Source organism: Homo sapiens, chromosome 1, assembly GCF_000001405.40.
Source record: "Homo sapiens chromosome 1, GRCh38.p14 Primary Assembly".
Classification (NCBI taxonomy): Eukaryota; Metazoa; Chordata; class Mammalia; order Primates; family Hominidae; genus Homo; species Homo sapiens.
The window spans coordinates 178296066-178310618 of record NC_000001.11 but is presented as its reverse complement, the minus strand read 5'-3'; the positions used below and the strand labels follow the sequence as shown (position 1 = coordinate 178310618).

General features: G+C 35.8%; 1 protein-coding gene across 9 annotated transcripts in view; it reads right to left on the bottom strand.

Annotated features, from left to right (window-relative positions):
* Positions 1-14553, bottom strand: part of RASAL2 (RAS protein activator like 2) — a 384747-nt gene that overhangs the window by 168232 nt on the left and 201962 nt on the right. For all 9 annotated transcript variants that reach the window (NM_001437625.1, NM_001437626.1, NM_001437627.1 and 6 more), the window contains exon 3: positions 10501-10627. In NM_001437625.1, the coding sequence (NP_001424554.1) occupies positions 10501-10627 (127 nt within the window). The remainder of the gene's footprint in view (positions 1-10500; positions 10628-14553) is intronic.

Sequence of the window (14553 nt, the reverse complement as noted above, 5' to 3'; positions counted from 1 at the left end):
CTTAGAATTGAGAACTGATGTCCCAATCGAAAAAAAATGTTACTGCTAATCAAAATCTAGCTCATAAGAGTAACAAAAGTAACAAAATCAAACAGTAAAATTGATTTTAGTAGGTTAGCTTGAGAACTTAAGTACTAGTTTTTTTTTATTTTATTCATGTCAGTTTTGAGACCCAATTAACTACTTCCAAAAGAAAATCAGGAAAATGTTCAAATGTAAATGAAGTTTTTGCATTTAATTGGCTAATAATGCAAACTTCTTTCTAATGGGCAAATCTAACTATATCAGATTGGTAGTAAGGTCAGTTCTGTTATAATATTTGCTTTGAAAACTTTAATGTTCTACTGCAATTGATTTATTTTAGGTAACAATTTGCACATAACACAAAATCTGTGTTTCCTTATGCACAACCTTCACTACTCACATATCCTGTCTATCAATGCTATTATCATCCAGTAGTTTTATAGAAGATTCTAGCATCTTGAAAATATTTCACAAATTATCTAGATATTTCTAACAATGTCTTGGGAATAAAAACAGAGTCCTCACTAATTTACAAATTTCATCTGTAATAAACACTAAATGAACAAAGGAAACTCTACTCACCAAGCCATGTTGAATATACAAGATGTTCATATTCAGATACACCTCAAACATCTACCAGCTGCCTCAGTTCACTGCATGAGTGTTATTAGCCACACCCAACATGCCTGTTGTAACAACATTCTATCCGCTTTTAAATAACCCTCCTTCTATCAATTCAAAATACACTTACAAATTAGTCTGATGCCCTCTACCACAAGGAAACTTTAGGATTTTTTCAAGGTAAAGTGCTATATTCATTATAGTATTTGAAACCTAGTTTTATCACTTTTTTGTGTGTTACTGACCATGTTTTTGAGAGTAGTGCCCCTAACCACTTTGTCTCCACTTGCATAGTGTAGTGATTTTTAGGACTCTGTATGTCATATTATAACAGAACTGACTGTATATGGCTATTTTATCCCATAATCAAGCCAATTCTTCCAGAATATTACCATCAGTATTACCACATACATCCTTCCAAATCTTATTTCAAAGAATAAATATATAGTCACTCATGGTTTTTAAGAAAACCCAAAACTACTCAACCAAAACCTTGAGGAAGATTTTTCCAGGGTTTTCTACCTTAATTATTCATAATGATTTTGATAATTCTTGAGCTTATCTGAGTTCTCCTCAAATTACTTGCATATCACTGCCATCTATTAATGTGGAATACAAATATAATGCCTAGATATTATGCAGCTGTTTTAATGTGAGCTTTCTTATAGACAGTAGTCAAATAATCTTATTTTACAGGAGAGGAATAAGACATGACATTTTAAGGAAATTTCAAAGAAAATCAGTGGCTGCCATTATCCACTGAGCTCCAACTTTCAGAGCTAGAAATACCAGGATATTATTTTTTATAAAGATTTTGATCTTTATATGTATTAATATATCACCATAAAGTTCAAGGTCTGCTTCTGTTGGTTAAGTAAATACACACATTAATTTAATAGCCAATCTAAATATTGAGTACTACCATACACAGACATTATTTATCAGCATTTTTACTCTATTTTATAAAGGAAAGAATATATCTCTTATAATATTAAATCTTCATTATGCACATATCCTGTCTACCAATGCTATTACCATCCAGTAGTTCTACAGAAGATTCTAGCATCTTGAAATTATTGCATAAATTATCTAGATATTTCTAACAATGTCTTGGGAATAAAAACAGAGTCCTCACTAATTTACAAATAAAGTTAGAACTGAGGCTAATTTAATCTAACAGAAAGGGCCAGGGTTTAAACCAAGGTTTCCCAGCATGAGCAACATAGTGACACCCTGTCTCTAGAATAAATTAAAAAAAAAAATAGCCAGGCATGGTGGTGAGTGCCTGTAGTATCAGTTGCTTGGCAGGTGGAGGTGGGAGAATCAGTTGAGCCTAGGAAGTTGAGGCTGCAGTGAGTCATGATTACACCACACCACTGTAATCTAGCCTGGGCAACAGAGTGAGACCCTGCCTCCAAAAAAAAAAAAAAAAAAGCTAATGTTTGAATAATCAATATCTTTTATTAATTCTGATCAAAAGCTTTATCCTTTATAATATTTTTATAAATACCCTAGAGAACATATTCTACTTTAATATTAATTTTCTTCAAAGTTTTCTCAAGTTTTTGGTCACTCAGAGGTCAATAAACTTAGGAAAAGATGGTATAAAGTAAAAGGCTGGCTTTTCCTCAGAGTTTTCCAACTTAATTTCCTTTTTTGGTCTTCATGTATACAAACATAAAAATTTTAGATAGCTAGCTTTGACTCTAAAAGACTTTTGATACACTCTTCTCTAAGGCTTGCTAGAATATATCGGAGGCATACTATGTTAAATTATAATTTTAAATGTATTTACCAAATGTTTATAGGTTTTTGAGGACTCTAGGATAATAACACAAATTTACTATCACAGGCACAGTTTTTATAAAAATCCAGACATTCTGTAAGTAAGATGACGGGATAACTTTAATATTTTATTATAATATATTAAAATAGAGGCATGAGATCTCTGCAGCCTTGAGTTAGTAAATGTTTGGATTTGAATTTACCAGTTCAATCTGAACTTTCTGTTTGAGGACTGAGAAAGCCTCGGATTTACGAATGTTTGGCATTTTCTAATTAAACCAGCTTTATGAACATGTTTATGATGTTACATGCAAACAACTATCCTTGCTCATTTCAGGCTCATACTGTAGTTTGCCCATTTGGGCATGAAAACATGAACTTTACCGGAATGTCAAAGAAATACAACAAAAAGATTGGAGACAGCTCCAAATTCACCTTGTGCTATCCACCAGCCAAGCAGTAAGCAATATGCAATAACAGAGATAAATTTTCTTCCATAAATGCACAGTTCATAAAAATGTCCACTCTTCAGCTTTCACTTTTCCCCCTTCTCAGAGTTCTTGCAAGCTATTTGATAGCTTTGGTTTTTTTAAAAGAAGTTGAATTTGTAGGTTACATTGACATTGAAAATGACTATTTACTAATTTTAGTTCACACGGCCAACTAATATGCCTTCCAGTATTATTTGTATACAAAGAACCCTACTACCTCCTCTTGAAAATTCAGCAAGTCATGCTTTGCATGGTTTGAATCTAGATAGTCTTTTGATGAATAAATTAAAATCTGGATACTGTTACTAGGGGAAAATAGTTTTTTCCTAGGTTTTCTAAATCTGGAAGTGGGTACTTTAGACATGATGCACACATGCCTTAAGAAAACATCTCATTTTCAGTGGAAAAAAATTTTTTTTTTAAAAGTAATTAGTATATTTTATTTAAAAATATTTTTAGTATGAAAGAAATGCACATTGCTTAAGAAAATCTAGAACATACAAGCAAAATAAAGATAATGCTCATAATACGTTGATGTGTATAAGCAATCTTTATTCTGTGTGCATACTGTACCTTTTTTTAAAAAATGAAATAATGATTAGACTGCACATGCTGTTATATAACTTGTCTTCTTCGCAATTTATTTAGAACATCTTTTTCGTGCTTTTTTTTTTTCTTTTATTATTATACTTTAAGTTTTAGGGTACATGTGCACATTGTGCAGGTTAGTTACATATGTATACATGTGCCATGCTGCTGCACTGCACCCACTAACTTATCATCTAGCATTAGGTATATCTCCCAATGCTATCCCTCCCCCCTCCCCCCACCCCACAACAGTCCCCAGAGTGTGATGTTCCCCTTCCTGTGTCCATGTGATTTGTTCATCTGACAAAGGGCTAATATCCAGAATCTACAATGAACTCAAACAAATTTACAAGAAGAAAACAAACAACCCCATCAAAAAGTGGGTGAAGGACATGAACAGACACTTCTCAAAAGAAGACACTTACGCAGCCAAAAAACACATGAAAAAATGCTCATCATCACTGGCCATCAGAGAAATGCAAATCAAAACCACAATGAGATACCATCTCACACCAGTTAGAATGGCAATCATTAAAAAGTCAGGAAACAACAGGTGCTGGAGAGGATGTGGAGAAATAGGAACACTTTTACACTATTGGTGGGACTGTAAACTAGTTCAACCATTGTGGAAGTCAGTGTGGCTATTCCTCAGGGATCTAGAACTAGAATTACCATTTGACCCAGCCATCCCATTACTGGGTATATACCCAAAGGACTATAAATCATGCTGCTATAAAGACACATGCATACATATGTTTATTGCGGCACTATTCACAATAGCAAAGACTTGGAACCAACCCAAATGTCCAACAATGATAGACTGGATTAAGAAAATGTGGCACATATACACCATGGAATACTATGCAGCCATAAAAAATGATAAGTTCATGTCCTTTGTAGGGACATGGATGAAATTGGAAATCATCATTCTCAGTAAACTATCGCAAGAACAAAAAACCAAACACCGCATATTCTCACTCAAAGGTGGGAATTGAACAATGAAAAAAATTTGATGAATCAAAATCTATGTCAAATTTAGTATCCTTGGTAACTGTAAACTGCTGAATGCAACAGTCGGAGAACTCTTGTCAATAAGAAGTAAATTCTGTGCTTAAGCACTCCCTTCTTCTTCCCCATACACATTTGTCTCAATTTGCTTATTTGGAAACAAAATTCTGGATTTTCATCTTTCCTCTTTAGTTCTTCCTTTGCTAGTGCTACTTCATCTTCCTAACCTCTAAATGTTGTCCCAGGGCTTAGTCTTTGCATTTCTTCTGTCATACATTCTAATAGGAATGTCATTAAATCTCAGGGTTTTAAATATCATCTATTTGCCAAAGGCTTGCAATTTGTATCTGTAGTCTGTACCTTCCCCTTTATTTCCAAATTCATATATCCAACAAATTTCGACTTGGGGGTCTAATAATACCCTCAAACTTAACGTGTGCAAAAATTGAGCTGCTGGTCAATCACACTTTCAAACTAGTTTCTCCCAGTCTTCCCACTTTAAACAATAGTAACTTCATTCCTGTAGCTGTTCTAGCCAACATTCTTGAATATTCTATTTCTCACTTTCCACATCCAATCCATTAAGCAAATTCTGAGTTCACTGTAGGTGTGTGGATTTGTTTCTGGATTCTCTGTTCCACTGGTCTGTGTGTCTGTTTTTCTGCCTGTGCCGTGCTATTTTGGTTACTATACCTCTGTACTGTAATTTGAACTCAGGTAATGTGATTCCTCTAGTTTTGTTCCTTTTGCTCAGAATGACTTTGGCTATTCAGGGTCTTTTGTGATTCCATATAAATTTTAGTATTGTTTTTTCTATTTCTGTGAAGAATGTCATTGGTATTTTGATAGGAATTGCACTGGATTTGTCGACTGCTTTGTGCAGTATGGACATTATAACAATATTGATTCTTCCAACCCATGAACATGAAATATCTTTCCATTTGTTGCCATCCTCTTCAATTTCTTTCATCAGTATTTTATAGTTTTCATTGTAGCGATACTCACTTCTTTGGTTAATTCCTAGGTACTTCATTTTACTTGTGGCTCTTGTAAATGGGATTACTTTTTAAATTTCTTTTTTTCAGATTGTTCACTGTTAACATACAGAAATGCCACTGATTTTTGTATGCTGATTTGGTATCCTGTAACTTTACTGAATTTGTTTATCAGTCCTAACAGTTTTTTAGTGGAGTCTTTAGGTTTCTCCAAATATAAGATCGTATCATCTGCAAACAAGAATAAGTTGGCTTCTTCCTTTCTAATTTGGATGCCCTTTATTTCCTTCTCTTGTCTGACTGCTCTAGCTAGGACTTCCAGTACTATAACAAATAAGAGTGGTAAAAGTGCACAACCTTGTTGTGTTCCAGATCTAAGAGGAAACGCTTTCAGTTTTTCCACAGGCAAACGTTTAAGAAGAATTGTCTCCATTTGCTGTTTTGATTTCCTTATCACACTATCTTCTCAACTCATTTCAGTAGGGCTTCTGCTGCCACATACCATTAAAACTACAGTTCCTAAACTTACCAAGAACCCTAATGTCACTTAATCTAATGTGTGGTTTTTGTTTTGTTTTGTTTTTGAGACAAGGTCTCACTCTGTCGCCTAAGCTAGAGTGCAGTGGTGTGATCTCAGCTCACGGTAGCCTCAACCTCCCAGGCTCAAGAGATCCTCCCACTTTAGCCTTCAGAGTAGCTGAGACTACAGATGTGTGCCACCATGCCTGGCTAATTTTTTTATTTTGTAGAGATAAGGGTCTCACTATGTTGTCTAGGCTGGTCTCATACTCCTAGACATAAGTGACCCTCCAGCTTCAGCCTCCCAAAGTGCTGGGATTATAGGTGTGAGCCATCACACCTGGCCTAATGATTTTCGTTAGTCCTCATCCTAGTGGCCCTTTTGGTAGCATAAAACAGAGTTGGCTATATAGTTCTTAATCCTCCCTACTGTGTACTTTGTAATAGTATAGACCACTTATGTGACAGTACAATTTAGCTTGTTTTTCTTTGTCTTTTTAAAATTTTCTTTAAGTATAACACACATATGCTCAATGAATTATCACAAAGTGAACACACCTGTGTAATTCCTACCCAAGTCAACAAACAGAACACCACTGGCACTCCAGAATCCACCTTTATATTTCTCCCAATCACTATTCATGCCTCCTCCCCAAAAGTAACCACCATCCTAATAACTAACACCATAGATTAGTTTTAACGGTTTTGGAACTTGATATAAACGGAATCAGACAGGATGTACTAATTTGTGTCTGTTCCTCAGTGAACTCTTCGTTAAAATATCTGTTCAAGCCTCTTGCTCATTTTCTACGAGGAAGCATTTATATATACTAGATAAAAGCCCTTTGTTCATTATAGGTGTTGCAAATATATTATTCTACTCTGTGGTTTGCCTTTTCATTCTCTTAATGATGTACTGATTGACAGAATTCTTAATCTTAATATAGTCCAATGTATCAATTATTTCCATTACAATTTGTGTTTTTTGTATTGTTTAAGACAAACTTGTCCAACCCACGGTCCATGGGCTGCATGCAGCCCAGGATGGTTCTGAATGCAGCCCAACACAAATTCTTAAACTTTCTTAAAACATTATGAGATTTTTGCATGAACCTTTTTTTTTTTTAAGCTCATCAGCTGTCGTTAGTGTTAGTGCATTTTGGGTGTGGTCCAAGACAATTCTTCTTCTGATGTGGCCCAGGAAAGCGAAAAGATTGGACACTCCTGACTTAAGAAATCTTTCTTTATCCAAGATCATGAAAATATCCTACACTATTTCTAGAAGTTTTATTGTATTATCTCTCTTGTTCAGATCTTGGAATTGATATTGTGCATGGTTATAAGGTCACTATCTTATAGGTCAATTCCTCCTCATTCCCACCCCACTCCAAAAAGATATGTTATTGAGCCAGCACCAATGACTAAAAAGACTGTCTTTTCTCTCACTGCCGTGAGGGAAATGTCACACCAAATGTCCTTATATATGGGATAACTTCAAGACTCTCTATTCTATTTCACTATTCTATTTGTTTATTCTTCCACCAACACACTATTATACTTTGTTTTTTTTTGAGATGGAGTGTCGCTCTGTCTCCCAGGCTGGAGTGCAGTGGCTCAATCTTGGCTCACTGCAACCTCCACCTCCTGGGTTCAAGCGATTCTCCTGCCTCAGCCTCCTGAGTAACTGGGACTACAGGCACATGCCACCACACTCGAGACAGGGTTTCACCATATTGACCAGGCTGGTCTTGAACTCCTGACCTCGTGATCTTCCCACCTTGGCCTCCCAAAGTGCTGGGATTATAGGCGTGAACCACTGCGCCCGGCCTATTATACTTTTTAAACAGATCTTAATACTAGTAATTAAGTCTTCTCACCTTGTTTTCTTCTGCTGTGGCTATACTTGGTCTATGGCATTTCGAGATGAATTTTAGAATCAACTTGCCAATTTGTATACGTGTATGTGGTGGTAAGGATGGGGACAGAAATTTTGAAATTCATTGAAATTTTGATCTTAAAGAGAACTGACATTGTATTAAGTCTTCTAAACCATCATCATGGTATTTAGCCCTCCATTTGTTTATTTAAATCTTTTTTTCTTTTATGTTTTAAAGTTCTCTATGTAGAAGTCTTTCACATCTGTTATTAGATCTTTTCCCCTAGGAATTTGTTATCATGATGCTATATTAAACAGGATATTTAATTTTTTTTGTTTCCTGTTTATTGCTAGTATATAGACAATCAATTTTTGTACACTAACTTATATTTTAGTTTCTATGTATATTCATCCTATCTTGCTAACTACATAAAAAAAATGTTCTAAGAGCAGAAATCTTATACTTCTTTTCACTCTTAGCGACTGGCATAGAATGTTACATATACAGCAATTATTCAATGAAATACCTGACAGCAGAAATTTTGGCTAAAGACAAATCACTTGGAGATAACAATAAAAAAACAGAACAATTATCTAATTCAAGATTAGACTGGCATGTAAGGAAGAATGGCTCTAGAAGTAGTGTTTTTCCCTATAATATTTACGAGGATAGCTTTTAGTGCAAATTTAGGACATTTGCTCATGGACTGTCCATGAGTCAGAATGGCTACTGGACTTCTTGTTAAGCACAAAAGATAAGGACTGGCTCTAGACCAGACACTTTTGTCACCTTTAGTTTGTTTTTGGGGCCAGTACCTCGAACACTGTAGATATTTAACAATTTCCTATATAGTTCTCTCTTCTATAACACTGCAATAATTCTTGAGACTATAGTTGTACTTCCTCAAAATCTATTGACTTTTATGGGTCAAAACTTGAAGAGCGAAAGGTTCCTAGAAAATTGGTAAAGACAATAGTCAGGCTGGGCGCAGTGGTTCATGCTTTATTCCTAGCACTTTGGGAGGCTGAGGAGGGCAGATCATCAGTGGTCGGGAGTTTGAGACCAGCCTGGCCAACATGGTGAAACCCTGTCTCTATTAAAAATACAAAAATTAGCCGGGCATGGTGGTGCATGCCTGTAATCCCAGCTACTTGGGAGGCTGAGGCAGGAGAATTGCTTGAACCAAGTAGGTGGAGGCTGCAGTGAGCCAAGATCACGCCATTGCACTCCAGCCTGGGCAACACAGCAAGTCTCTGTCTCAGAAAAAAAAAAAGAGAGACAACAGTCAACATATCATTGCAAATAATGAAAGCAAAGGAACTGAAAGAAGGTGACTCTAAGCCAGTTCAATTTACATAGAACTTGGATGTGAAATATAAATAGGCTATAAAATGGTTACACCCAGACAGGTTTTTAGTAGAATTTAGGCCCACACCTAAACTGGTTTCAACACATGTTAAAGAAGTATAGTGGAAATAAGATGAGAGAAAAATCTGACTTCTCCAAGGTGGCTCCTTGGAAAAAAGTACTTGCTAACTCAACTAATTTCTAGGAAAGCAACAACTATTACACAATAAAAAGAAAAATAAAAGATTCAAATTCTGCCCAAAAGGATTCAAATTCCAGCCAAAAGCTCTGGGTTCCACTTAGAAATGAAGAAAAAGGCAACCCCCTCCAAAATCCCAAACCAAACCATGATTTTAGAAAACACAAACAAAATTACAGAATTATCCATACTGATCACCATAGAGACAATAAATGATTTCATCTACTTATCAAATGTCAAAAGTCTATGGTTCACTAAGCAAATAATAACACAACAATATAAAGCACCAAAACAATTCCTACTTTTCAAATTGCTTCATTTTTCTATTTAATCTTAATTATGTTCTTTTAAAATTACCTGACCAGTCTGATTATTTAAATATCCATTATTAAAAATGAAAACATTTAACAGAATACATTTGGTAGGGAATGGGAGAAGAGCTAGCTGCTTTGATATTGACATTAACTCCTTTAGTATATAACAATGGAAGTAAGGTTTCTTTAGTAACCTTACTGGAAAAATGGAAGTAGGATTTCTCCCTTTTGTCACCCACTCCAACCATAGTCCAGCATATGACTTTTATGAGACATGCAAGATTAACTTAGCTAAATTAGCCTGATCTAATATTACATCATATAAGACAACACCAGTAGCTACCTGAACAAGACACATCTAAACCACTTAATACTAAGTTCCAACACATACTGCTCCCTTATGAACCTCAGTGCTTCAACAAGATCACCAAATACTCTCTCAAAATCTACAGCTGAGCAATAAACCCAGAAGCAACACATTATCCCATCTGCCTAGGACTAAACAGCAACCTTACTAGTGCTCACATAAAGTCTTTCTCTTTAAAATAACTTTGCTGTCAGTTGGTTATAAAGAACAGAACTCTCTAATGACCTCTAACTCTCGCTTAACGTGCCATTGATTTCAAAGCACTTACTTAACAGGAAATGCAGGATGTTCTGTTTTACTCAGTAACAAGTCCATAAATTATGGGATAAAAGCTAGGAATTTATTTCCTTTTCATAGTAGCTTACCCAGTTTAGTGGCGCCCTCTGGTGGGTACTCGGGAAACTGACCCTCGGAAGGGACACTGACAGTTCTCCTCAGGCATCGCCCTTTGGTGGAATCTGTCTGCTGCTCCTGTCCCCCTTCCACAGGTATCTAGTTAATCAAAAGCAAAAGATAAAACTTAATAGTGAACTCACCATAACTACGTTCTGATTGAATAATGGTTTTAGTCAAAGAAGACAGGAGTGTGTAACAAAGAGTAAGGCAGGAGAAATATAGAAATAAAGTATATACAATGGTAAGGTATTACCAACCCCTTCACAGTAAGCTTTCCTTTAAAAAGAAAACTGGGCCAGGTGCAGTGACTCACGCCTGTAATCCCAGCACTTTGGGAGGCTGAGGTGGGTGGATAACGAGGTCAAGAGATCCAGATCATCCTGGCCAACATGGTGAAACCCTGTTTCTACAAAAATACAAAAATTAGCTGGGCGTGGTGGCGCCCACCTGTAGTCCCAGCTACTTGGGAGACTGAGACAGGAGAATCGCTTGAACCTGGGAGGCAGAGGTTGCAGTGAGCCGAGATCACACCACTGCACTCCAGCCTGGTGACACAGCAAGACTCCATCTCAAAAAAAAAGAAAAAAGAAAACTGAAACATCAGGAAAGGTGGGCATGTAAATTAGCTAACATGAAGTATGTACAAATCATAACCAGGTGCGTACTTGCTCCTGGAGCTCAGAAAACAAAACACCCACACAAATAAAATGTTTTTCTATATCAGAAACTGGTTCACAAGCTCCAATTTTGTCCAATGTTAAATAAAATAAATGGAAATAAAAGTTGATCAGAAAGACTTCGCCTCAAAATTATCTTAAAATATTTCATTAAAGGTAGTAAGATCACCCAAATGTTCTTCAATTTTAGAGTTGAGCACTTAGACATAGTTAATAAATCACATTTTCAGTGGAAACTTGTATAGATACCAACATAAAATGGTATATTTTCTTCCAAAGGTAAGAGTGTTTTTATAATCCTAATAAACATTTTTTCTGACATAATTTCAGAAACATATCAAGCGGTTATTTGCATATCAAGTGGAATGAGAACTATGAATAGTAAAAAAAAATCTCTAATACTAATAACTATTTTAAGACTTACAAAGCAGGTTATCAATGTAGAGTAATGGGATGGTTCAAAGTTGTGGGTTTTTTTTGGTTTTGGGGTTTTTTTTTTCTGGTAATCCTAAGTATTCAGTAATGAGATTTTACTAGTAGCTTTTATCAGAATTAAGAATTGTAACATCCTAAATAGTTTGGCAGAGTATGTCATAATTAATCATAACTCCTAATTTATTATGGCTCCAATACTGTTTTCAATATATTTCAATAATGAAACACTGAGTTCTTACATGTGCAAGTCTAATGAGTTCATATGTGTGACATTATGAGGGAGACATTATTATTATCTCCTTTTAAGAGATGGGGAATGAATGATTTATTTCTTCAAATGATTATAATGGACATGTATTGCATCAATTGATCCAGCAAAAGTAGGACAGGTATAGGCTTAAGTGTACATGCCTTCTGCTTTGCTTCCGTAATCCAACTCCTGTGACTTGGGTCAAGGAGATGATGGCAAGGAAAACTCTCTCTCTGTTACTGAGAATCCGAGGAGCAAATTCCTAATGCCTCCATAGGCACTTCAAATTTTCATACTCCTTATAGGACCCCCAATTCTCCCATTTCCTTATTACCATAACTATGGTTACTCTTTGCACATTGAGAAATTGAAGGGCAGAAGAAATGTAAAATTACAAAAATAAGCTGAGGCCAAAAAATAGCATCAATAAAGACATGAAGTCTTCCAAAAGTACTCTGTAATATAAAACTTCACAAACAGTAATCTAAGTCATCTGTCCCTTTCAGGATGGAAATTTTATTATCTCTACTTAAATAATTAAAAGAGTATCACTGATAGGTTTAAATGACTATCTCCTATTAAAAAAGGCGAAACATATCCTGTATCTGCCTTAAAAGTGGGAAGAATGACAGTAAATTTGGAAAAAATAGTCTGGTTCTTTGAAGAAATAGTTCAATCTAAATAAACATAACTATTTGATAATAGTTCTAAAAATGCCTATTATTTTAAATAATAAAGGTCTAAACCATGCAGAAAAAAAGTAGTAGTTTCTTATGGTGTTTTAGGAGGAAATATTTTTTCTATGCAAATTTATAAACGCCATATCCAAATAAAGTAAGAATGTCTTCTATGAGGACATATTTTGTCTCTGCTATATCAAAGGAGAGAATAAATACAATATTTTTTATTTGGGCCTAAAATTCACTCAATTATTTTCTCAAAGTTTTAATGTAGACTCTTTATTTCCCAGTATTAAAACTTAAAATATGATAAAAGGTTGTATTCAAAGTTTCACTTTTAAAGGTTAGGGCATTTTACTTCTCATTCAGGATACAAAGAACATAATATAACCTTTATTCTGAATTGCATTTCTTAAGTTTTTTTTTTTTTTTTTTTTTGAGATGGAGTCTTGCTCTTGTTGCTCAGGCTGGAGTGCAGTGGTGTGATTTTGGCTCACTGCAACCTCCGCCTCCCAAGTTCAAGCGATTCTCCTGTCTCAGCCTCCCAAGTAGCTGGGATTACAGGTGCCCGCCACCACGCCCAGCTGATTTTTTTTTTTTATTTTTAGTAGAGACAGGGTTTTACAATGTTGGCCAGGCTGGTCTCAAACTCCTGACCTCAGGTGATCCACCCGCCTCAGCCTCCCAAAGTGCTGGGATTACAGGTATGAGCCACACTACAGATTGCTTCTTAGCTAAAATATTTTTTAAAAAGATATTGATCTACTCCTTTAAAATTGGATAGATCCTATTTCAAGTAATTTCAAATGACCCAAGCTGAAATATACAAATCTTAGCATATAGCTAAGAGAATCAGCTATACATGAGCAATTTTCTCCAGTGTGATTGTCGTAATTTATTTTACTAGTTCATATTTACTTGTTTATACTGAATTCCTCATAAAAATTATGTATCTTCCAAGTTCTATAACATGAGAGTAAATTTTCTTTCTTTGTTTTTTTTTCTTCTCTGCCCTTGTGGCCCTGTACTGGGCTTCTTCTCATCTTCTTTTGCCTCAACTAAAAAAAAAAATTGGCTGGGTGTGGTGGCTCATGTCTGTAAATCCCAGCACTTTGGGAGGCTGAGGTGAGTAGATCACCTGAGTTCAGGAGTTCAAGACCAGCCTGACCAACATGGTGAAACCCCATATCTACTAAATACAAAAAATCAGTTGGACATGGTGGGGCATGCCTGTAATTCCAGCTACTTGGGAGGCTGAGGCAGGAGAACTGCTTGAACCCGAGAGGTGGAGGATGCAGTGAGCCGAGACTGTGCCACTGCACTCTGGCCTGGGCAACAAGAGCAAAACTCTGTCTCAAAAAAAAAAAAAAAAAAAAATCAAGGCCAGGTGCAGTAGGGCTCCCACCTGTAATCGCAGCACTTTGGGAGGTCAAGGTGGGAGAATCTCTTGAGGCCAAAAGTTCAAGACCCTGGGCAACAACGTGAGATCCCCCATCTTTAAAAAAATAAAAAATAAAAATCAGCCAGTTGTAGTGGCATGCACCTGCAGTCCCAGCTACTCGGGAGGCTGAGGCAAGAGGATCACTTAAGCACAGGAATCTAAGGCTGCCATGAGCTATGAACACATCACTGTACTCCAGCCTGGGTGACAGAGTGAGACCCTGTCTCTCAAAAACAAACAAACAAAACCGAGCACTTTAATTTCATTCCATTTTATAGGAAGAAAGTAGAAAAGGAGATATCTCAGGTATCTAAGATGTGTTAATAACAAAGCCAAACTAGAGCTCTGGCTCCCTGTCCTCTTTGTTAATTTCAAACCATCCAGGAAAATCAAAAAGCAATGTGGCACATATTTATATATATATATATGCACACACACACACATATATATACACATATATACACACACATATATATACACATATATATACACACATATATACACATATATATACACACACATATATACACATACATATA